The 26,312-nt window shown below is 37.4% G+C and overlaps 1 long non-coding RNA gene across 1 annotated transcript in view; it reads left to right on the plus strand.

The window, feature by feature from the left end:
- The window catches only part of LOC107985710 (uncharacterized), a 71,824-nt gene extending 65,097 nt beyond the window's left edge, over positions 1-6,727 (plus strand). The window contains exon 3 of the long non-coding RNA XR_001755916.2: positions 1,281-6,727. This is a non-coding gene — a long non-coding RNA (uncharacterized LOC107985710). The remainder of the gene's footprint in view (positions 1-1,280) is intronic.
- Positions 6,728-26,312: the final 19,585 nt, after the last annotated feature.

Below are 26,312 nucleotides of genomic sequence, written 5' to 3' on the forward strand. Positions count from 1 at the left end.
TTCTAATAGTATAGAGAATATTGATAGTCCTTGGTGTGAGTTGTTTACAGTTGTGCAAAATAAATGTATTTGATACTCCTGATTTCACTGCTCCTTAGAGGCAAGGAGGTTAGCTAATCTATACATGATACCTTTCAACATTTGTAGAGAACCAACAATACAGTAAAGTTGCTTAGTTGTCTCTAAGTTCATTGGACAAAGTGTTGAACGAAAAGGATAAGTTCAGGAATTCTATCTTCAGGCTCCAGCATCACATACTTAGCCTCAACGCTTCTAAGATTGCCCACAGTGAGAGTTGAATCTTCCTTAGACACAGGGCTAAAATTTTTGAAAATCAGACAGAATCTTTTATCATGCCAGTGGCTAATCTACAAGGAAACGTGCAGGCTTAGCCTTGTCAGGTGTCTACAGTTAAACTGAGGGCCTAAACTGGGAAAGAATGAGGCCCTGTAACTTGGGATGGGGACATGTGGAAGCACCCCAATGAAGCTGGGGACACGGACTTCCTCAATTCTCATGAACCTTTTTTGCCAGAGGAAATGGGCTATTCACACCCAGTGGTGTGTTCATTCCCTCTTCCACACAGGCTGCTATGAGCCTTTCCACATTTGCCTGAAGAGATTAACTATGCATTGCCTGAGGAAATAGCAATGGCCTCCTCTGAGGCGGTTGCCAGGCAAGACAATGCAAATTCTCTTCAGGACCCACCTCAACACCTCTCTTTACTTCTACACCTGTAACTAGACTGAAGTCCTGGCAGGCCCATAGAGGTGATGTTCAGAGTTTGACCCATTAGGATGTTCACTATACTACAAAAGAACTACTCGAGTTTTCTGATTTATATAAGCAGAAATCTGGAGAACAGGTATGAGAATGAATATTAAGAGTGGGATAATTGTGGAAGGAACATAAAGTTGGATCAGGCTGAATTTATTGATACGGGTTCATCAAGCAGAGATTCTGCATTTGATGTTGCAGCTACGGGAATTTTAAAAAATGTTCTTATAGTTTATTCGCTTGGATAGCTGAAACATGGGTCAAAATATGGCCCACTGCGAGTAAGCTGGAAATGCCTGATCTCCCTTGGTTTAATGTAGAAAAAGGAATCCAAAAGCTTAGGGAGATTGGAATGTTAGAGTGGATTTGTAAATTTAGCCCTACTAATTCCAACTGAGAGAACACAGAAGACATTTTCTTCATCAATACCTTGTGAAATAGATTTGTCAGAAGAGCAATGGCATCCTTGAAGAGCTGTGTGATCTCTCTTCTCTTTATGCCAGATCTTATGGTGAGAACCACAGTCACTCAATTGGAAAACTTAAATGCGATGGGAATAATTGGACCCTGAGGTGGCAGGGGCCAAGTGGCAGCACTCAACCGTCAAAGGCAAGGTAGGCATAGTTGCAGTAATAGACAACAGAGACAAAGCAGCAATCAGAATACTCTTACTCTTGTAGAGCTCTAGCATTGGCTAATTAATCATGGTGTTCCTGGAAGTGAAATTGATAGGAAGCCTACTATATTCTTACTTGATTGGTATGAGCAGAAAACTTCCAGGCCAAGTGAACAAAAGATTGATTTGAATGATAAAAAACAAAGAATCACAGCCCCTCAATCAATTTTCAGACTTGAATAAATTTACAGATCCAGAACCCCTTGAAAAAAAGGAAGGCTGAGTCACCTTGAGAAAGGACCCCACTACACTACTGAAAATTTATACTGTTAATTTTTCTCTTATCTTTACCCAGGGAGACCCCTGGGCTTTCATCAGAGTAACTGTTCAATGGGAAAAGAAAAATGATCAGACCTTTTGGGGATTACTGGACACTGGCTCTGAGCTGACATTGATTCAGAGGATCCAAAATGTCATTGTGGCCCTCCAGTTAGAGTAGAAGCTTGTGGAGGTCAAGTAATTAATGAAGTTGTAGCTCAGGCCCAACTTACAGTGGGTCCAGTGGGTCCCCAAACTTATCCTGTGTTCATTTCCTCAGTGCCAGAATGCATAATTGAAATAGACATACTTAGCAGTTGACAGAATCTCCACATTTGTTCCCTGACCTGGGGGTTGAGGGCTATTATGGTGAAAAAGGGCAAATGTGAGCTATTAGAGCTATCACTATGTAGAAAAATAGTAAATCAAAAACAATATTACATCCCTGGAGAGATTGCAGGGATTCTTGCACCATCAAGGACCTGAAAGATGCAGGGGTGGTGATTCCCACCACATTCCTGTGTAACTCTCATATATGGCCTGTGCAGAAGAATAATGGACCTTAAAGAAAGACAGTGGATTATTATAAGCTTAACCAAGTGGTGACTTCAATTGCAGCTGCTGTACCAGATGTGGTTTTATTGTTCGAGCAAATTAACACATCTCCTGGTTCCTGGTATGCAACTACTAATTTAGCAAATGCCTTTTTCTTCACCACTGTCGATAAGGCCCACAAGAAGCAACTTGCCTTTAACTGGCAAGACCAGCAATATACTTCACTGTCCTACCTCAGGGCTATGTCAACTTTCTGGCTCTGTGTCATACAGTTGTTTACTGAAATCCTGCTCACTTGTCTCTTCCACAAGATATCACACTGGTTTATTACATTGTTGAAATTATGCTGATTGAAACCAGGGAGCGAGAAGTAGCAACTACTTTGGACTTACCATTGAGATATTTGCATGCCAGAAGATGGAAAATGAATCTGATAAAAATTCAGGGACATTCTACGACACTGAAATTGCTATGGGTACAATGGAGAGGGGGCCTGTCGAGATATTCCTCTAAGGTGAAGAATAAGTTGTTCCATTTGGCTTATTCTACAACCAAGAAAGGCACAATGCCTAGTGGGCCTGTTTGGATTTTGGAGGCAACACATTCTTCATTTGGGTGTGTTACTTCAACTCATTTATTGAGTGAACCAAAAGGCTGCTAAATTTGAGTGAGGCCCGGAAGAGGGGAAGGCTCTGCAACAGGTCCAGGCTGCTGTGCAAGCTGCTCTGCCACTTGCACCATATGGCTCAGCAGATCCAATGGTGCCTGAGGTGTCAGTTGCTTATAGAGATGCTGTCTGGAGCCTTTGTCAGGCCCCCATAGGTGAATCCCAGTGGAAGCCTCTAGGATTTTGGAGCAAGGCCCTGTCATCTTTTGCAGATAACTACTCTCCTTTGGAGAGACATCTCTTGACCTGTTACTAGGCCTTGGTAGAAACAGAATGTTTGACTATGGGTCACCAATTTATTATGTAACCTGAACTGCCTATCATAAACTGGGTGCTTTCTGACCCATCTAGCCATAAAGTTGGATGTGCACAGCAGCATTTAATCATCGAATGGACATGGCATATACACAATCAGGCTTGGGCAGGTCCTGAAGGCACAAGTAAGTTAATGAGACAGTGGCCCAAATGCCCATGGTCCCTACTCCTGCCACCCTGCCTTCTCTCTCCAGTCCTGCACTAATGACCTCATATAGTTCACCATGAAAAGTTGACAGAGAAAGGAAGACTAGGTCCTGGTTTATAGATTGTTCTGCATGATATGCCAGCACCACCTGAAACTGGACAGCTGCAGCACTACAGTCCCTTTCTAGGGCATCCCTGAAAGACAGCGGTGAAGAAAAATCTTCCCAGTGGGCAGAACTTCAAGAAGTCAACCTTTTTTTTGCACTTTTCTTAGAAGGAGAAATTGCCAGACATGCAATTATATACTCATTCATGGGCTGTAGCCAATGGTTTGGCTGGTTGGTCAGGGACTTTGAAAGACCATAATTGGAAAACTGGTTAAAAAGGAGATTTGAGGAAGAGGTACGTGGATAGACCTCCTTGAGTGGTCAAAAACTGTGAATATATTTGTGTCCCATGTGAATGCTTACCAAAGTGTGACCTCAGCAGAGGAGAATTTTAATAATCAAGTAGATAGGATGATCCATTTTGCAGACACCACTCTGCCTCTTTCCTCAGCCAAACCTGTCATTGTCCAATGGGCTCATAAACAAAGTGACCATGGTGGCACAAATGAAGTTTACACATGGGCTTAGCAATATGGTCTTTCATTTTCCAAGGCTGACCTAGCTATGGCCACTGCAGAGTGCCCCATCTGACAGCAGCAGAGGCCAACACTGAGCCCTCGATATTGCACTATTCCTTGGGGTGATTAGCCAGCTACCTGGTGGCAGGTTGATTACATTGATTACATTGGATGTCTTCCGTTGTGGAAAGTGCAGCAGTTTGTTTTTACTGGAATACACACTTACTCTGGATATGGGTTTGCCTATCCTGCATGCAATGCTTCTGCCAAGACCACCATCCATAACTCGTAGGTTGCCTTATCTGCTGTCAAGGCATTCCACACAGCATTGTCTCTGATCAAGAAACTCACTTCACAGCTAAAGAGGTGTGACAGTTGTGGGCTTGTGCTCATGGCATTCAGTAGTCTTAATATGTTTCCCATTATTCTAAAGAAGCTGGCTTGATAGAATGGTAAAGTGGACTTTTGAAGTAACTATTTCAATGCCAATCAGGTGAAAATACTTTTCAGGGCTGGGAGAAAGTTCTCCAGAAGGTTGTGTATATCCTTGATTAGCATTCAATATATGGCACTGTTCCTTCCATAGCAAGGATGTGTGGTTCCAGAAATCAAGGAGTAAAACTGGAGGTGGTACCACTCACTGTCACCCCTAGTAACCCACTAGAAAAATTTTTGCTGCCTGTTTCCATGACATTATGTTCTGCTGGCCTAGAAGTGTTATTTCTAGAGAGAGAAATGCTGCCACGAGGAGACACAACAATGATTCCATTAAACTGGAAGTAAGACTGCCACCTAGCCACTTTGGGCTTCTTCTGGCTCCAAGTCAACAGGCTAAGAAGGAAGGTACAGTGTTTTCTAGGATGATTGACCCAGACTATCAAGATAAAATCCGATGCCACAACACAATTAAAGTAAGGAAGAGTATGTCTGTAACACAGGAGATCCCTTAGGGCATCCGTTTGGTATCACTATGCCCTGTGATTAAAGTCAATGAGATACTACAACAACTCAATGCAATCATGACTGCAAATAGCCCAGAGCCTTTAGGGATGAAGGTTTGGGTCACTCTATCAGGTGAAAAACAAAGATTAGCTGAGGTGATTTCTGAAGGCAAAGGAAATACAGAATGGGTAGCAGAAGAAGGTAGTTACCAATATCAGCTACAACCATGTGACCAGTTGCAGAAATGAGGACTGTAATAGTCATGAGTATTTACAACTTTTTTTGTTAAGACTATGTTTGTGCATGTGTTCAACTGTATTAAGAAAATATCTTTTGCTGACGAGGCTGTGGAGAAATAGGAAAGCTTTTACACTGTTGGTAGGAATGTAAATTAGTTCAACCATTGTGGAAGACAGTATGGAGATTCCTCAAAGATCTAGAACCAGAAATACCATTTGAGCCAACACTTCCATTACTGCATATATACCCAAAGGAATATAAATCCTTATACTATAAAGACAAATGTACAGATATGTTTATTGCAGCACTATTTACAATAGCAAAGACATGGAACCAACCCAAATGACCATCAATGATAGACTGGATATAAAGAAAATGTGGTACATATACACTGTGGAATACTATGCAGCCATAAAAAAGAATGAGATCATTCTCCTTTGCAGGGACATGGATGAAGCTGGAAGCCATCATCCTCAGCAAACTAGCACAGGAACAGAAAACCAAATACCACATGTTCTCACTCATAAGTAGGAGCTGAACAATGAGAACACATGGACACAGGGAATGGGACAACATATACCAGGGCCTGCTGGAGGGTGTGAGTCAAGGGGAGGGAACTTAGAGGATGGGACAACAGGTGCAGCAAACCACCATGGCACATGTATACCTATGTAACAAAGCTGCACATTCTGCACATGTATCCCATTTTTTAAAAGAAGAAATAAAGAAAAACAAGACAAATAAAATATCTTTATATTATTTTCTTTTTTATCCTTATGTAACATTAGATTTATCACTTCATAGCAGCATTTAATTATTTTTAACTTCAATAGCATTTAGGTTAAGGATTAGTGCACTTTTATTTGTATAAAGGATAGTTGTATTATGTTAGGTGTAATTATGACTTTATTATTACCTATATTTGGAGATTAAGTATAATTTCAGGAGATGCATATAGATGCCAAGTGGATTTGTGATGGTTAATATTAGGTGTCAACTTGATTGAATTGAAGGATGCCTAGATGGTTGGTAAAGTATTGTTTTTGGGTGTGTTTTTGAAGGTGTAGCCAGAGGAGATAGACATTTGAGTCGGTGGACTGGAAGAGGAAGACCCACCCTCAATGTGGGTGAGCACCATCTAATCAGCTGCCAATGTAGCTAGAACAAAGCAGGTGACAAAAGGTGGGGTGACTTTGCTTCCTAAATCTTCTGGCTTCTTTTTTTATTTATTTATTTTTTTCTCGATTCTGTATGTTTTCTTGTGTTACTCCTGCCCTTGGACATCAGTCTCCAGGTTCTTCGGCCTTCGGACTCTTGGACTTGTACCAGTGGCTTGCTGGAGGCTGTTGGGCATTCGGCCACAGACTGAAGGCTAAACTGTCAGCTTCCCTGGTTTTGAGGCTTTCGGACTCATATTGAGCCACTACCAGTTTCTCTCTTTCCCAGCTTGCAGACGACCTATTGTAAAATTTTCCCTTGTAATCATGTGAACTAATTTTACCTAATAAATTCCCTTCTATATGTACGTATATCCTATTAATTCTGTCCTTCTGAAGAACCCTCACTAATACACATTCCAACTGATACCTCAGAAATTCAAAAGATCACTAGTGGTTTCCACAAGCAAATGTATGCCAATAAATTGAAAATTCTAGAAGTAATAAACAAATTTCTAGACACATATAATCTACGGAGACTGAACAATGAAGAAATAAAAAACCTGAACAGACCAATAACAAGTAATAAGACCAAAGCAGGAATAAAAAGGCTTGGAGCAAAGAAATGCCCAGAACCCGATGGCTTCTGTGCTGAATTCTACCAAACATTTAAAGAACTAATACAAATTGTACTCAAATTCTTCCAAATATAGAGAAGGGAAGAATACTTCAAAACTCATTTTATGAAGCCAGTATTATCCTGAGACCAATACTAGACAAACACATATTTAAAAAAACTACAGTCTAATATTTTTGTTAAATATTGATGCAAAAGAAACATCAACAAAATACTAGCAACCAAATTTGACAACACATTAAAAAGATCTTTGAGTCAATCAACAGAAAAATAGATTACAAAAATATGGTTCATATATCCTGTCATTTGCAACAACATGGATGGAACTGGGGATTATTATTTTAAGTGAGATAATCCAGACACAGAAGGACAAACATTGTATGTTCTCATTTATTTGTGGGACCAAAAAATCAAAGCAATTTGACTCATAGGCATAGAGAATATAAGGATGATTACTAGGGGCTGGGAAGGGTAGTAGGGGCCTGGAGTAAGGTACAGATGGTTAATGGGTATAAAGAAATAGAAAGAATGAAGAGTACCTAGTATTTCATAGCACAACAGGATGCTTATAGTAAAAAATAACCTAATTGTAAATTTCAAAATAACTAAAAGAGTGTAATTAGATTATTTGTAACAAAACAGATAAATACTTGAGGGGATAAATACCCTATTATTTATGATGTTATTGTTTTTCACTGTATTCCTATATCAAAACATGTTATATACCCCAAAATATATACCTGTTATATACTCACAAAAATTAAATATAAAAAAATTTTAAAACATCATTTATCATACCAAGTGAAATTTATTCCAGGGATTCAAGGATGGTTCAACATATACAAATCAATCAATATGATACATCATAGAAACAGAATAAAGAGCAAAATCTATATGATCATTTCAATTGATGTTGAAAAGGCATTTCATAAAATTTAACATCCCTTCATGATAAATTCCCTCCATAAACTGGGTATAGCAAAAAACATAACTCTTCATAATGTAAGTTATATAGGACAGACCCACAGCAAGCTTCATAATGGATGAGAATAAAACTGATTCTTTATTCTAAGATCTGGAGCACAAAGATGCAGACTTCCACCACTCTTATTTGACAGAATATTGGAAGTCCTAGTGACAGCAATCAAGCAAGATAAAAAAAATAAGAGTATCCAAAATGAAAAGAAGAGGTCAAATTATTCTTGTTTGCTGTTTTTGTAATCTTGTATTTGAAAAAAAAACTAAAGATTCAGCAAAGAAACAATAAGAACTTATAAACAAATTCAGCAATATACAAAAATGTATCATTTCTATATGCCCACACTGAACAATTTGAAAAAAAAATCAAGAAAGTAATCCCATTTAAAATAGATACAAATAAAATGTAATATTTAGAAATTAACCAAAAAAGTGAAAGGTCTTTTCAATTAGAACTATAAAGCTTTGATTCATAAAACCAAAGAGGACACAAAACAATGGAAAGATGTCTCATGTTCATGGATTGAAACAATCAATATTGTTAATATGTCCATAGTTCACAGAGCAATCTATATATTTAATACAATCCTTATCAATATACCAATGACATTATTCAAAGAAATAAAAAAAAATCCTAAAATTTATATGGAACCACCAAAGACCCAGAAGAGCCAAAGCTATGTAAAGCAAAAAGAACAAAACTGGAGGAATCACATTACCTGGCTCATAAATTATAATACAGAGCTAAGTTAACCAAACTGATGTGGTGCTGGCATAAAAACTGAGAAATAGAAATGTAGAACAAAATAAAGAACCCAGAAATAAACGTATAGATCTACAGTGGACTCATTTTCAAAAAAGTTTACAAGAATATGCATTGGAGAAAGGACAGTCTCTTCAATAAATGGTGCTGAGAAATCTGAATATGCATATGCAGAGGAATGAAACTTGACACCTATCTCTCATCTTATTAAAAAATCAAACCAAAATGAGTTAAATGCTTAAATCTAAGACCTCAAATTATGAAAATGGTAAAATAAAATATTGGGGTCCAACATGGTGGCTCATGCCTGTAATCCCAGCACTTTGGGAGGCTGAGGCAGGAGGACTGCTTAAGCCCAAGAGTTTGCAACCAGCCTGAGTAACGTAGTAAGATCTCATCTCTACAAAAATGTGATAATAATAGTAATAAATTAGCTGCATCTGGTGTCACATGCCTCAGGATAAGGCAGAAGAATAGCTTGAGCCTGGGAGGTCGAGGCTGCAGTGGGCCATGATTGTGCCACTGCACTCCAACCAGGGTGACAGAATGAGATCCTGTCTCATTAAAAAAAAAAAAAAGAAAAAGAAAGAAAGAGAGAAGAAAGAAAGAAGAAAGAAAGAAAGAGAAAGGAGAAAGAAAGAAGAAAGAAAGAAAGAAAGAAAGAAAGAAAGAAAGAAAGAAAGAAAAGAAAGAAAGAAAGAAAGAGTGAAAGAAAGAATTGTGAAAATTTTTAAAATCATTGGACTGGGCAAAGAATTCTTGAGCAAAGAATACTTCACAGGCACATGCAACCAAACCCAAAATGGACAAATGGGATCATGTCAAGTTAGAAAGCTTCTGAACAGCAAAAGAAGCAACCAAGTAAAGGGATGACTGAAAGAATAAAAGAAAATATTTGCAAACTACTCATCTGACAAGAAATCAATAACTAGAATTTTTAATATATACAGTTGTTTTCTAATAAAACATATAAAAATACAATAATCTTATTTAAATATTGACAAAATATCTGAATAAGTATTTCTCAAAAGAAGACATACAAAGGAAAAACAATTATATAAGAAAGTGTTCAACATAATTGATTATCAGGGAAATGCACATTAAAACTATGATAAATATTATCTCACCCCAGTTAAAATAGCTTTTATCCAAAACACAGGCAATAATAAATGCTGGCAAGGATGTGGAGAATAGGGAACCCTCATATACTGTTGGTGGGAATGTAAGTTAGCACACCACCATGAAGACCAGTCTGGAGGTTCCTCAAATTCTAAAAATATAGCTACTATGTGATCCAGCAATCCCACTTTTAGGTATACACCCAAAAGAAAGGAAATCAGTACATCAAAGAGATATCTGCACTCCCATGTTTATTGCAGCTCTATTGAAAATAGTCAGAATCTGAAAGCAACGTTAGTGTCCATCTACAGATGAACAGATTAAAAATAATATGGTGTGTATACAAAATGAAGTAAAATTTGACCATAAAAAAATGAGATCCTGTCAATGGCAACAAGATTGATGAAACTGGAGGTCATTTTGTTGAGTGAAATAAGCCACAGAAAAAAAAAAATCACACGTTCTCACTTATCTGTGAGAGCTAAAAATTAAAAAGAGTGTATTCATAGAGATAGAGAGTAGAGGATGGTTACCAGATGCCGGGAAGGGCAGTCGGGGGCTGGGGGAAAGCAATGAGATGGTTAATAGGTACCAAAAAAAAAAAAAAAAAAAAAACAGAGTGAATAAAACCTAGTATTTGCTAGCACAACAGGATTACTGTAGTAACATTAATATAGTTGTTTATTTTTAAATAACTGAAAGAATATTAAATTGTTTGAAAGAAAATATAAATGCTTTAGATGATGAATGCCCTATTTACCCAGAGGTAATCATTACACATTGCATGCCTGTATCAAAATATTTCATGTAACCCATAAATATATAAACCTACTCTGTACTCACATAAAGTAAAAATAAAAAATAAATTAAAAAACAAACCTATTAAAGCACATTCTGGTAAAATTAGACATTTTTTAAATGAATAGACTCATAGAGGAAGACTTTTTCGTACTTACATTAAAAGTGAATAAGACCAAGGCAAAAGTTTGTGTTAGAGTAACAGATAAATAATATCAAAAATAAATTACAATGTTAAGAAATTGTGCTTAGGGAAGAGGGAAAAAATGGATCAGAAAACACAAACGCCAAACTGATATGATGTCAGAGACTACCGTTTGTAACAGAAACAGAGAAGAAAGAAATACTTTTTAAAAGTCAATATATTTCAGGTTTCAGAATAATTATGAAAATATTCTGCTTTTGAGTTATATAGTTCAGAAATTATAAAGCAAAAACCTTAAAATTATTATTTTTTTATTTTGTGCATATATAGTAGGTGTATATATTTATGGGGTACATGAGATATTTTAATATAGGCATGCAATGTGGAATAAACACATCATAGAGAATGGGGTATCCATCCCCTAATGCATTTGTCCTTTGAGTTACAAACAATCCAATTACACTCTTTAAGTTATTTTTAAATGTACAATTATTATTAACTATAGTAACCTATTGTGCTATCAAATAGTAGGTCTTATTAATTTTTTCTATTTTTTGTACACAATAACAGTCCTACCCCCACAGCCCCTCACTACCCTTCCTGGTCTCTGGTAACCAACCTTCTGCTCTCTACATCCATGAGTTAAACTATTTTGGTTTTTAGATCCTACAAATAAGTGAGAACATGCAATGTTTATTTTTCTGTGCCTGGCTTATTTCACTTAGTATAATAACCTCCAGTTTCATTCATGTTATTGCAAATGACTGAATCTCATCTTTTTTATGACTGAGTAGTACTACTTTTTGCATAAATATCAGAGTTTCTTTATCCATTCATCTGTTGAGGGTCACTTAGGTTGCTTACAAATATTAGCTATTGTAAACAGTGCTGCAACAAATATAAAACTACAGATATTTCTGTGATATCTTAATTTTTTTTTCTTTTATGTGTATACCCAACAGTGAGATTGCTGAATCCTATAGTAGCTCAGTTTTTAGTTATATCCGGAACCTGTAAACTGTTCTCCACAGTGGCTGTAATAACTAACATGCTAACCAACAGTGTATGAGGGTTCTCTTTTCTCCATATCCTTGCCGGCATTTGTTACTGCCTGTTTTTATGATACAAGACATTTTAACTAGAGTGAGATGATATCTCATTGTAGTTTTGATTTGTGTTTCTCTCATAATCCATAATGTAGAGCACCTTTTTATATGCCTGTTTGCCATTTGTATGTCTGCTCTTGAGAAATGTTTAGTCAAGCCTGTTGCCCATTTTTGATTGGATTATTATATTTTTTCCTATAAGTTACTTGAGCTCCTTACATATTGGTTATTAATTTTTTATTAGTTGGGTAGTTTGCATTTTTTCCATTCTGTGGACTGTCTCTTAAGTTATTTGATTGTATCCTTTGCTGTGCAGAAGCTTCTTAACTTAATGTGATCTCATTTGTCTATTTCGGCTTTGGTTGCTTGTGCTTTTAAGGCACTGCTCAAAAAAGTATTTGCCCAAACCAATGTCCCGGAGGTATTCCCCAATTTTTTGTAGTACTTTCATAGTTTGATGTCTTAGATTTAATTTTTTAATCTACTATGATTTGATTTTTATTATATGGTGAGAGATAGGGGTCTAGATTTATGCTTTGGGGTATGGATATCCAGTTTACCTAGAACCATTTATTGAAAAGATTGTCTTATTCCCAATAAATGTTCTTGGCACCTTTGTGAAAAATGCAATCACTGTAGGTGTGTAAATTTGTTTCTGGGTTCTCTATTCTGTTCCATTCATCTATGTGTATGTTTTTAATGCCAGTATTATGCTGTTTGGGTTACTATAGCTCTGTAGTATAATTTAAAGGCAGGTAATGAGATTCCTCCAGGATTTTGTTTTTGTTTGTTGTTTTTTCTTAGGATAGCTTTTGCTATTCTGAGTGCTTTGGGGTTTTGTATAAAATGTACAATTTTTTTCTATTTTGTGAAGAATTTCATTGGTATTTTGATAGGGCTTGCATTGCATCTATAGATTGCGTTGATAGTATAAACATTTTAACAATATGGATTCTTCCAATCTACGAACATTAAATATTTTTAATTTTTGTTGTTCTCTTCAATTTCTTTTATCAGTGTGTTATAGTTTTCATTATATAGATCTTTCACTTCTTTGGTTAATTTCTAAATATTTAATTTTATTTGTGGCTATTGTAAATGGAACTACTATTTAATTTCTTTTTCACAGTATTCACTGTTGGCATATAGAAATACTACTAATTTTTGTATGCTGATTTTGTATCATGAAACTTTACTGAATTTCTTGGTCGGTTCTAATAGTTTTCTTGTGCAGTGTTTAGGTTTTTCCCAATATAATATTTTGTCATCTGCAAACAAGAATAATTTAGCTTTTTCCTTTTCAATTTAAATGCCCTTTACATCTTTCTGGCTGCTCTAGCTAGGACTTCTGGTACAATGTTGAATAACGTTGATGTCAGTGGGCATTCTTTTTGTGTTCCACATTTTACAGGAAAAAATTTCTGTGTTTCCCAATTTAGTATGATGCTAGCTATGGGTCTGTTGTACATGGCTTTTATTATGTTAAGGTAAGTTTCTTCTATCTTCAGTTTCTTTGTGGGTTTTTTATCATAAAAGGATGTTGAATTTTATCGAATGCTTTTCAGCATCAATTGAAATGATCATATGGTTTTTATATTTCATTCTCTTGATACGGGTATTACATTGATTTATTTGTATATGTCAAACTAACCTTGCATTGCAAAGATAAATTCCACTTGGTCATAATAAATTATTTTTCTAATGTATTATTGAAATCTGTTTACTAGTATTTTGTTGAGAATTTTTGTATCAATATTCATCAGAGACATTGGCCTGTAGTTTTCTTTTATTGATGTGTCTTTGTCTGGGCTTGGTATCATAGCAGTACTAGCCTCGTAGAATGAGTTTGGAAGCATTTTCTCCTCCTCTTTTATTTAGAATATTTTTAGTAGGGTTGGTATTAGTTCTTCCTTAGATGTTTGGTAGAATTCAGCAGTGAAGCCATAGGGTCCCACACTATATTTTTTTTTTACGGGGAGACATTTTATTATGGCTTTGACTTAATTACTTTTTACTGGTATCTTCAGGTTTTGAATTTCTTCCTGGTTCAAACTTGGTAGGTTGTATGTATCTAGAAATTTGTTCATTCCTTCTAGATTTTTCCAATTTGTTGACATATAGTTGGTTATAGTAGCTACTAACGATCCTTTGAACTTCTGCATCATCAGAGTTAGGCATTTACTTTAGTCTTTCATGTCTGGGATTATTTGTAGCCATCCTTCTTGGGAAGGCTTTCCAGATATTTGAAAGGACTCAGATATTGTGATCTAAGCTGTATCTACTATAGTGGTAATCTCAAGCCCAGTAACAATGTGGTTCTTTCCCACTTGTAACAGCAACTCCTTGATAATCTTAGACAGAGTATAGGTGAATTATCTGGATTACCAGGCAGAGACTCTTGCTCTCTTCTCTTACTTCCTTCAAATTATACAAAGTCTCCATATCTGTTCTGAGTCACTGAAAGCTGGGGGGCAGGGGTTGGGAGTGACACATGCACCCCTGTGGCCACCACCAGACACCGTGTCAGACTTGAAGCCAGCACAGTGCTGGGTCTCACCCAAGGCCTACAGCAACCACTCCCTGGCTACTGCTCATTTTTACTCAAGGCCCTGGGACTTTACAATCAGCAGGCAGAAAAGCTATCCAAGCCTGTGTCCATTGCTTCAGGGTGGTGAAGTGTCCCAGGACCTGGTTGGGTTCAAAAGTGCTGTCCTGACCGGGCATGGTGGCTCACGCCTGTAATCCCAGCACTTTGGGAGGCCGAGGCAGGCAGATCATGAGGTCAGGAGATCGAGACCATCCTGACTAACACGGTGAAACCCCGTCTCTACTGAAAATACAAAAAATTAGCCGGGCGTGGTGGCGGGCGCCTGTAGTCCCAGCTACTCGGGAGGCTGAGGCAGGAGAATGGCGTGACCCCGGGTGGTGGAGCTTGCAGTGAGCCGAGATAGCGCCACTGCACTCCACTCTGGGTGACAGAGTGAGACTCCGTCTCAAAAAAAAAAAAGTGCTGTCCTAGGGTCAGGGACTAGAGTCAAAAATCTTAGAAGACTACTTGGTATCTATTGTACACCAGGCTGAACTGACACTGAAACCACAAGACAAAGTTTTTCCCACTCTTCCATTTCGTTTTTCAAAAGCAGAGAAGCCTTACCCCATAGCCACTAACACCCCAGGTCATGAGAAGTACTGCCAGATTACTGTTGATGTTCCTTTAAGGTCCAAGGTCTCTTAAGTCAGCTTGTCCAGAATGCTGCCTGGCCTGAGACTTACCCTTTAGTCCAATGGGCTTCCCTCTGTCCCACGGCAGGTCCAGAAATGCTAAAGGTCAAGTCCTAAAACTGGAAACCTTAAGAACCCACTTGGTTTTCTACCCCACTGTGGCCATTCCAGCACCTAAGGTGTTAGACAAAATACCCTTTACTTTTTCCTCTGCTTTCCTCAAGTAGAAAGAATTTTGCCCTGTAGCCACCAAAGCTGGTAATGTGCTTAGTCCTCATCTAAAGCAGGCTAGTCTTAGAGTCTTACCCAAGGATTTGGATGTAGCACTTGGGTATGTCTGCTGGTTATTCAGGACTCAAGGCCTCGTCACATAGGTGATGAGTGCTGACAGGACTGAGTCCTTTTCTTCAAGGCAGCAGGTTTCTTTCTGGCCCAGGGTGTGTCTGTCTAGAAATGTTATCTGAGAGCTAGGATTTCAGGATTCTGACCAGTGCCCTATCCTGCTGTGGCTGAGCTGGTATCCTAGATGCCAGACAATGTTCTCCCCACTCTTTTCTCTCTTCTCCTCAAGTGGAAGAAAAGGGTCTCTTGTGAAGCCATGAGCTGTGAGCCCTGGGTTTAAAAGAGGGCTGATGCCAGCACTCCCTTGGCTGCCCTAGCTGGTGTGTTAATATGTCTCCTGCCCCTCAGTCCACTACCTCTGGGCCTAGTTTAGCATTAGGACTTGCCTAAGAATTGAAGTCTCTGTGGCCTTGACTTCCTTTCATGTTTACTTGGAGACATGGAATGCTGTAGCCCTCAGTGGTGAAGTTTGCAGGCACCCAAGTTTGAACTACTGGTACTGGCGATTCCCCTTTGGCTAGAGCTGGTTTAAACGCTCCTTCTGTTTTTAAATGTCAGCTGAGATTGGCCAGTTTTTCTTTCTGCTGTAACAGGACAGCACTGAGTTCAATGCCTCATAATTGCTGTGTTCTCTCTCCCCTAGTGCCCACAGATGCTTTCTGCACTGACTCATTGTAGCTGGGGGTAGGGGTGTGAAGGCATCAGTAATTCAGGACTTTTTTCTATCTCTTCAGTTCCTCTTTCAGTGATATATCCTCTTTCAGTGATATGAAGTTACAACCAGATACTTTTAGTGCCCACGTAATATTTGATTCTTATGAAGTTGTTATTTTGGTGTAGATAGTTGTTAACTTGGTGTCCTTGCAGGAGAGGAATGATCTGTGGCGGTTTCTGTTTCACTATCTTGCTCTATATCCCAAACTTTGTTCTTAACTATAGAAAACATTTAGATTATGTCAAGTGGAAGCCAGCATGCTCTTGCACATTCTGCCTTTGTACATGTGATTTTACCCTTGGAAATGCCCTTTCTACTCATGCCAATCCTATTATTAGAGCTGGCTAACTGCTTTTCAGCTTTGAAGTTTCAGTTCAAATTTCTTACTTTCTTCCCCTTTGTCTTCTTTTATCTCCTCCCTAGCACTCTGTAGATATTTCTGCAAGCAATATGTCATTAACTTGTAAGTGACATATTTTTATGTCTGAATCCTTCACTAAACTATGAAACTGTGTAGAGCAGGAAGAATGTATAGTGATTTTACAGAGTCAACAACAAAGTTGCTCTTGGCTGGCACCTACCTTTATATAATTGTGTTGGATAACTTTTAAATTCTTTGGTACCTAACTGTCTTTTGTGTGATTAAGATTTTGTTATAAAAATACGTGGTAAAGTAGTAATTATTATAAAATAATAAAGAGAATACTTGGACTAAGTTAGCAATTTACTGAAATCTTGCTTGTACAACAAAACAACTCTGCTGGTGCATTTTTCCATAGAATAAGATACAATTAACTGCTAAAAATGCTGATTAAATAGAATCTTGGGGCAAGTACTCGATTGGAAATTATAAAGATAATCAGACCTATGCTAAGTTTCAAATATACCTGCACTTATTAATATAGTTGGTAAAATGTTTATTCATTCTTTTTGTTTGCAATGTTTATTCAACCCAGGGTATAGCCAAAAGATAATTTGATCAAGTTCTTCATACTCAAGGGCTGAAACTAGAAGCTTTATATTAACATATCAAAAAGAAAAGTCAAGCCTTTATTTGTATTTCTCTCACATGAGGAAATACAGTACCTAAAACCCAAAACATATATATATATATATACACCCCATTTTCGGGAAATATGAACTTCTGTCATCTTATAATCTGCCTTCAAGCCACCATTGACAGAAAACATCATTTTATATAGCAAAAGATAAAATATTAGAATCCTGAAACACTGTATCTCTTTTACAAATTAATAACCATGACAATATGTAGTCAAACCATGTATATAAACCAAAATAGTGCCTCTTTGTAAACTCTCTAGGGTACTTTTACAAAATACTGCATAGGGATTGTGCTTCATGAAGCACATTAATATTAATATATGTCACATGGCTAAATCCCTGTGCACTGCTTTAAAAAGTACTTTGTTGCATGTAATTGGAAATGATTTTCTTTAAATCAGCTTCCTCCCTAGAAAGCTGCTGCTAGTGACAACACCACCCACTATTGCCAACACATTATCAATGCTGTTTTGTAAACAGTAACAACTAGATAGGCAAGTATTTATTCCTTCGCTAAAATATTCTGGCTGCTCCCATCTCATCTGATCATTTTTTTTTATTTGGCATATAGGTAATAATACTGCATAATAAAGTTATCTTATTACCATTCATTCTAATGGAAGTTTATTAGAAAAACTGCATTGCTAAAAATTGTATTTTGCATTCTGCCCTGACGAGTGATGGAAACAAAAGAAAATTGATACCTAGTCACTCCTCACTGATTAGCAAGAAGAAACGTGGCATTGAACCTGCCGGAGTAAGGAGTAATGTTTCATATATATATATACGTGTATATATATATATATATATATATACACGTATATATATATATATGTGTATATATATATGTGTGTGTGTATATATGTGTGTGTGTATATATATACGTATATATATGTATATATATGTGTGTATATATATATATATATATATATATATATATATATATATATATAAAATTCCCATCTATTCTACTTACGCTGATTCTTTGACTATATTTTTTGGTTGAGAAACTTGGAAATTTAGATGAGTTTTGTTTTTAATCCAGGAGGTGTTGAAGTAGGAAGAAAGAGGAAAGCAATTGCTATTTGATGACCATAATGGTCTGAATGTTTGTATCCTTACAAAATTCATTTGTTGAAGCCTTATTGCTCTTTGTCATTGTATTTGAAAATAGTATCTATGAGGATGATATGGTTTGGCTGTGTCCCCACTCAAATCTCATCTTGAATTGTAGTTCCCATAATTCCCACCTGTCATGGGAGGAACCCCGTGGGAGATATTTAAATCATGAAGGCAGTTTCCCCTATGGTGTTCTCATAGTGAGTGAGAACTCATGAGATTTAATGGTTTTATAAGGGGCTTTTCCCCTTCTGTTAGTACTCATTCCCTCTCCTGCCACCCTGTGAAGAGGTGCCTTCTCCCATGACTGTAAGTTTCTTGAGGCCTCCCCAGCTATGCTGAATGGAGAGTCAGTTAAACCTTATTTCCTTATAAATTACCCAGTCTTGAGTATTTTTTATAGCAGCGTGAGAACAGACTAATACAGTAAATTCGTACCACAGAGAGTGGGATGCTACTTTAAAGATACCCAAAAATGTGGGAATGACTTTGAATCTTGGTATCAGGTAGAAGTTGGAATAGTTTGGAGGGCTCAGAAGAAGACAAGAAAATGTGGAAAAGTTTGGAACTTCCAAGAGAGTTAGAGGGCTCAGAAGACAGGAAAATGAGAAAAAGTTTGGAACTTCCTAGAGACTTGTTGAATGGCTTTAACCAAAATGCTGACAGTGATATGGACAATGAAGTCCAGGCTGAGGTGGTCTCAGATGAAGATGAGGAACTTGTGGGGAAGGAGTAAAGGTTGCTCATGTCAGGCAAAGAGGCTGGTGGCATTTCGCCCCTGTCCTGGAGATCTGTGGAACTTTGAACTTGAGAGGGATTATTTAGGGTATCTGGCAGAAGAAATGTCTGAGCAGCAAAGCATTCAAGAGGAAGCAGAACATAAATGTTTGGAAAAATTGCAGTCTAATGATGTGATAAAGAAGAAGAAACAATTTTCTGAAGAGGAATTTAAGCCAGCTGCATAAATTTGCATAAGTAATGTTAATCTCCAAGAAATGGAGAAAATGTCTCCAGGGCATGTAAGAGGGCTTCATGTGAGAGGCCCATCACAGGCCTGGAGGCATAAAACAGAAAAAATGGTCTGTGGGAAGGGCCCAGGGCCCTCCCCCGACCCCCATACCCCTGCTCTGTGAAGCCTTTGGATATGGTGCCCTGTGTCCCAGCTGCTTCAGCTCCAGCCATGGCTAAAAGGGGCCAGGGTACATCTTAAGCCATTGCTTTAGAGGGTGCAAGTCCTAAGCCTTGGCATATTATATGTAGTGTTGGCCTGTGGGTGTGCAGAAGTCCAGAATTGAGGTTTGGGAACCTCCACCTACATTTCAGAGGATTTATAAAAATGTCTGTATATCCAGGCAGAAGTTTGCTGCAAGGGCAGAGCCCCCATGAAGAACTTCTGCTAGAACACTGTGGAAGGGAAATGTGAGGTTGGAGCCCCCACACAGAGTCCCCACTAGGGCGCTGCTTAGAGGAGCTGTGAGAAGAGGACAACCACCCTCCAGTCCTCACAATGGTAGATCCACTGACACCTTGCACCATGCACCTGCAAAAGTTACAGACACTCAACAACAGCCATGAAAGTAGCCAGGAGGAGGTTTAATGACTGCCCCATTGGATTTTGGACTTGCATGGGGCCTGTAACCCCTTTATTTTGGCCAATTTCTCCCATTTGGAATGGTATATTTACCCAATGCCTGTACCCCCATTTTATCTAGAATGTAACTAATTTTCTTTTGATTTTGCAGGCTTATAGGCAGAGGAACTTGCTTTTCCTCATGTGAATCTTTGGACTTGGACTCTTAATGTTGGAATGAGCTAAGACTTTGGAGGACTGTTGGAAAGACATGATTGTGTTTTGGAATGTGAGGACATTAACTTTGGGAGGGGCAGCTTGGTTGGAATGATATGGTTTGGTTCTGTCCCTACCCAAATCTCATATTTAATTGTAGTTCTCATAATCCCATATGTCATGGAAGACTCCTGGTGGGAGGTAATTGAATCATGAGGGCAGTTTCCCCCATGTTGTTCTCATGATAGTGAGTTCTCATGAGATCTAACAGTTTTATAAGGGGCTTTCCCCTTTGCTCTGCAATCATTCTCTCTCCTGCTACCCTGTGAAGAGGTGCCTTCCACCATGACTGTAAGTTTCCTGAGGCCTCTCCAACCATGCAGAGCTGTGAGTCAATTAAACCTCTTTCCTTTATTCATTACCCAGTCTCAGGTATTACTTCTTAGCAGTGTGAGAGCAGACAAATACTGAGAAGGCAATAAAGGTTAAGTGACGTCATAAGGATGGAGTCCTAATTTGATAGGGCTAGGGTCCTTTTAAGAAAAATAGACATCAAACCTTTCTCTCTGCCATGTGAGGACACAATGAGAAGGCAACAGTCTTCAATCCAGGGAAAGAAACCTCTCAAGGAACTGAATCAGTGATAAGAAATAAAAATAAAATTCTAAGCCCCTAGCTGACTGAACAAACACCCTATTGACCAAGAGGACCCCAGAGAAACCTTGATAGCTGAGTTTCTAGTCATAATACAATAGGAGGTGGGACACATTTTACTATACCTTCTCCCTTGCTTACTGTCATCAAGCTTTCTTCTCTAACGGATAAACAGGAAACAGCTTTTTCAAAAGACTTCACACTAAAATTTGACTGGCTTTAAATAAAAGACTCTATGCTAATAATATTGATTACTAGCTTATCTTCCTAGGCACAGAACAAAGAAAACATGAGATTAATCATGCCTTTGCTTCTCCCTGAGACATCTTTTTCTTCTTTTCTCCTGTTCTTCAAACATTCGCCTTATGTAAAATGTAGATTTAATGGGCACTATCTAAAGTCTCACAGGTATGTAAACATTTGTCTCATCGCTGTCCCCTTTTTAAAGGAAAATGAATAAATACTAAACCTCCTGAGAATCTCTTTGAAAAAAGAAAAAAACAGCCACAGATGCATTGGTGACTAGTGTTTCTTTCAGGTATGTCCTCAAACTGGCTCAACTAGCTTTTATGTATGTATTGGGTCACCTGACTTAGTCACCCAGTTTAGTTGCCAGCCAGTACCTTCATCTTGGACTTTGCAGCCTCCAGAAATGTGAAAACAAATATTTTTTGCTGTTTAAGCTACCATTCTATGGTATTTTGTTATTGGAAACTTCAGCAACGTATCATAGTGACACAAAAAGAATGTAAAAAGTCAGTTTGCTTGCTCTTTGTCTTCTGACTGAAAATGCAAAGAGCTAGTAAAGAAGTTATTCCATTATACAGTGTGCCTGTATAATTTGAATAGGTAATTCAAATACCTGGAGATGATCCAGAGAGATCACCTACTGTTTATAGTAAATAATTAATTGCAAAAGTTTTAAAAAATAACTGGTTTTCTGAGCCATTGCCTAGGTCATACAAATAGTGTTCCTAAATCTTTTGTATAGAATTAAAAGTATTCATACATTTTTGTTATCCGAGTTATGTTTTATTTTTTCACTATACACTGCATTTACTCCTTTTTTTTTTTTTTTTTTTTTTTTTGAGATGGAGTCTTGCTCTGTTGCCCGGGCTGGAGGGCAGCGGTGCGATCTCCACTCACTGCAAGCTCTGCTGCCTCCCGGGTTCACGCGATTCTCCTGCCTCAGCCTCCTGAGTAGCTGTGACTACAGGCACCCGCCACCACGCCTGGCTAATTTTTTGTATTTTTAGTAGAGACGGGGTTTCACCATGTTAGCCAGGATGGTCTCGATCTCCTGACCTCGTGATCCACCTGCCTTGGCCTCCCAAAGTGCTGGGATTACAGGCGTGAGCCACCACGCCCAGACTACTCTTTTTTTTTTTTGGAGAGAAAGGCTGTAAGCTTGCTCACTTATAAAGGCTCAGTGTTTTTAGCATTGTGTCCATTAACCACACAGAAATAGAAAAGAGATTTACTAGCATTTCTGTCCCCCCAAGTGCTTTAATAGAAAGAGGAAATGTATTATTACTACACAAATCTAATGTAAAAAATGTAAAGGGGTTAAATTTCTTTTAAGTGCACTCTTTTGTGAGATGCTTAGAGCCGATCCTATTCAGATATCTAGTACTTTCTAGAAAACCATCCTTACTTGTCAGAATCACCATGGTCTTTCCTAAATTTCTTACAGCAATCAAAATTTGATATATTGTGTTACATTCCTTGGGAACATGGAAGGTGAATTAGCTTATTCAAATAAAAGGTTACTGGATACTGACATCTCAAAATATAATTTCATTCCTAGTTAGCAGGTGGGCATTTCAACAAGGATATTTACAACATTAGCCTAAGAATTGATTTTTGTAAAAATGTTAAGTACTATTTCAGGACAATGAAAGAAATATTTGTAAATCTCTAAATTTTATTTCACTGGAAGTTATTGTTTATTTATTTTTCCTCATATTACTAAAAACATATATCATAAATATCCACTTTGCATACTAAAAAAATAGGTAATTCAAATATGTTCAAAAGTTTAAATAATGTCCCAGCTTATTCTTGAGTAGATAATAAATACTGTGGGCCAACTTTTAGTTACCCTACATTTATTTTGTGAAAGTAGTTACAGATAGTAAAAAAAAAAAAAGAAAAGAAAAAAAGTGCTACTATGATCTCCAACTCTTAAACCTCCCTATTTCCAACAAGGATATTACCAGAAAAAAAGATTTTCTTGTAATTAAAATTTAAATACATGTCTCCTGTGATTTTTCACCAAAAAGGGGAGCTACTTATCTGATAAAAAATACTAGAAATTATTTGGAACTTTTTTTTCCCGAAGATATGTTTTAGGTCAAGATACTAACCACAAACACATAGTCCAATTGTTATTGCTGGTATTTTTTAACGTTTTTCAGATGATGTAGTTTTATTTCTGGAAAACCTCAACAACACAGATAAGTAAAAGATAAATAAATAAACACTTCCATAAAAGCCTAACAGATTTTTTAGAAAAATTGCTTTATTTTTGTCTTAGGTTAAATACTACATGTTTCTTACTATATTTTAGAAAAAGTGTTAACTACTATGCCTGATGTATTAGTTCATTCTCACATGGCCATAAAGAACTGCCAGAGACTGGGTAATTTATAAAGAAAAGAGGCTTCATAGGCTCATAGTTCCACAGGCTATACAGGAAGCATGGCTGGGGAGGCCTCTGAAATCTTATAATCATGACAGAAAGCGAAGGGGAAGGAGGCACATCCTACATGTCTGAAGCAAGAGGAAGAGAACAAAGGCAGGGGTGCTACACACTATTAAACAACCAGATCTCGTGAGAACTCACTTGATACCATGAGAACAGCAAGGAAGAAATCTATTCCCATGATCCAATCACCTCTTGCGAGGCCCTTCTTTAACATTGGGGATTACCATAAAACATGAGATTTGGTCAGGGGCACATATTTGAACCAACCTGAGATAAAATAAATGTTTATATTTGTCTTAACAATTACAATATGATTTCCATAAAGATAGAAGTTGCCTGCATACCTTATCACCTCTGTACCCATATCTGGGGCCTTTTAAGACTACCATAGTGTTTTAAATGTAGAAGTCATTTATGAGTAGAATCCTGAGTAATTGAATGTCGTCAAAAACAGTTGAGTAGAAAAGAATACTACTTTACAGAAAATGAAATAATATTTAAAATTATTGAGATTCTTAGTTTATTCATTTTTTCATTGCAAAAGCAGTACAGATTCATTATAACAAACCAAACAAAAAATAGATGCATAACATTAATAAGAAAATAACCTCTTTTTCTACATAATCTCACTCAGAATTTATTTTTCCACACATTGCCTGCATTAATAACATATAAGCATATATATTTACTTCTATTTTGTATAAAATACTATATTATACCATTATTCTACTTTTGTAAATAAGAACTAAATCACAGATACCTTCTGTAAGCTAATGCATACAGACTTAATATATAATTTCCATTAACTGCAAATTATGCCATTAAGTCTTCTATAATATTTTCTTTCTCTCTCTATATATATATATTTAGGTTATTTCCAATTTTTATATTTTCAAATAATTATATAAGGAAAAATACTGTATATTGATCCTTTGATTTTTACATATTTCATTCCTAAAACATAGAATTTCTTAGTCAAAAAGACTGTTATTCTAAATAGGTTCTTACTAATTACTTTTCAACAATATATAAGGCATTAGTAATTCACATGCCTAAATATAATGCATGAGTATCTGATTTCCAACAATTAGATCAATATCAGATGTTGTAAATATTTTAAATTTTTGGTAATATGAGAAACAAGAAATCATATCTCATTGTTTCGATTGGTATTTTATTGACTACAAAGTGAAACTGATGATCTTTCTATGTATTTGTTGGGAGTTTAAATTTGCTGTTTTGTGAGTATTCTGCTCTTACATTTTATGAATTTTTCTACTGGCTGGCTGTTTCTTATCAATTATAAGACTTTGTCCATGAAAAAAAAGCCAAACTTTGTAAGGTATTTGAAGAAATTTATTCTGAGCCAAATGTGAGTACCATGACTTGTGATCCAGTCTCAGAAGGTCCTTAGAAAATGTGCTTAAGATGGTTGAGTTACAGCTTGATTTTATACATTTTAGGGCGACATAAAACATCAATTAATACATGCAAGTTATACATTGGTTCAGTCTGGAATGGTGGCACAACTAAAAGCAAGGGAGCTTTCTGGTCATAGGTAGATTCAAAGGTTTTCTGATTGGTAATCAGTTGAAAGAGTTATCTAAAGACCTAGAATTGATAGAAAGGAGTGTCTTGGTTAAGATAAGGTGTTGTGAAGACCAAGGTTCTTATTTATTTATTTATTTATTTATTTTTGAGACAGGGTTTCCTTCTGTCACACAGGCTGGAGTGCAGTGGTGTGACCACAGCTCACTGCAACCTCTGCCTTGCAGCCTCAAATAATCCTCTCATCTCAACTTCCCAAGTACCTGGAACCACAGGTGTGTGCCACCACGCCTGGATAATTTTGTATATTTTCTATTTTTGGGAGAGATGGGGTTTTGCCATGTTTCTCAGGCTTGTCTACAACCGTTGGGCTCAAGCGATCTGCCCACCTCAGCCTCCCAAAGTGCTGAAATTACAGGTGTGAGCCACCATGCCTAGCCACCAAGGTTCTTATTATGTAGAGTCTCACAGGTGGCCACTCTGAGAGATAATAGACAGCAAATATTTGCTATTCGGGCCTTTAAAAGGTTCTAGATTCTCAGTTAACATCTTCAAGATCAGAAAAAAACCCGAAAGTGGAATAAGCTTCTCTACGAAATGTACATTTTTCCCACAAGAAACAGCGATGCATGGCTGTTGGCAAGTATGTGTCAAAAAATACATTTTGGGGTAAAATAATTTGATTTCTTTCTGGACATGATATCTTTTGTGTGGTGTTATACTACAGTTATGTTGAAATTTAATGTCTTACTACTAGAAAGAGTCTGTTTTGTCAGTCTTAAGATCTCTTTCTAAATGTGAATGCTGGTCAGTTATGTTTGAACTTTAAAGGGAGGAGAGTATAATGAGGCGCCATTGAACATTCCCTTTCCATCATGGCCTGAGCTAGTTTTTCAGGTTTCTTTGGAATCCCCTTGGCCAAGAGGAGACTCCATTCAGTAGGTTGGGGGAATTAGAATTTTATTTTTGGGGGCTGGAGCCAAGATGGCTAGCTAGAAGGAGCGGCGATCAGAGGCTCCCACTGAAAAGAACCATAATAGCGTGTGAATCCTGCACCGGCAAATGAGGTATCCAAGTTCTCTCATCAGAACTGACTAAATAGCTGGTGTGACCCTCAGAGAGGAAGGAAGAGCAGTGTGATGTGGCAGCCCACCTGAGAGCCACATGGGGCAGGGGAGCCCCCACCTCCCAGCCAAGGGAGGCGGTGAGCGTGCTAAACAGCTGGAGAAACCGCGCTTTTTCCACGGAACTG

The sequence above is a fragment of the Homo sapiens genome, chromosome X (assembly GCF_000001405.40).
Source record: "Homo sapiens chromosome X, GRCh38.p14 Primary Assembly".
In the NCBI taxonomy this organism is placed as follows: Eukaryota; Metazoa; Chordata; class Mammalia; order Primates; family Hominidae; genus Homo; species Homo sapiens.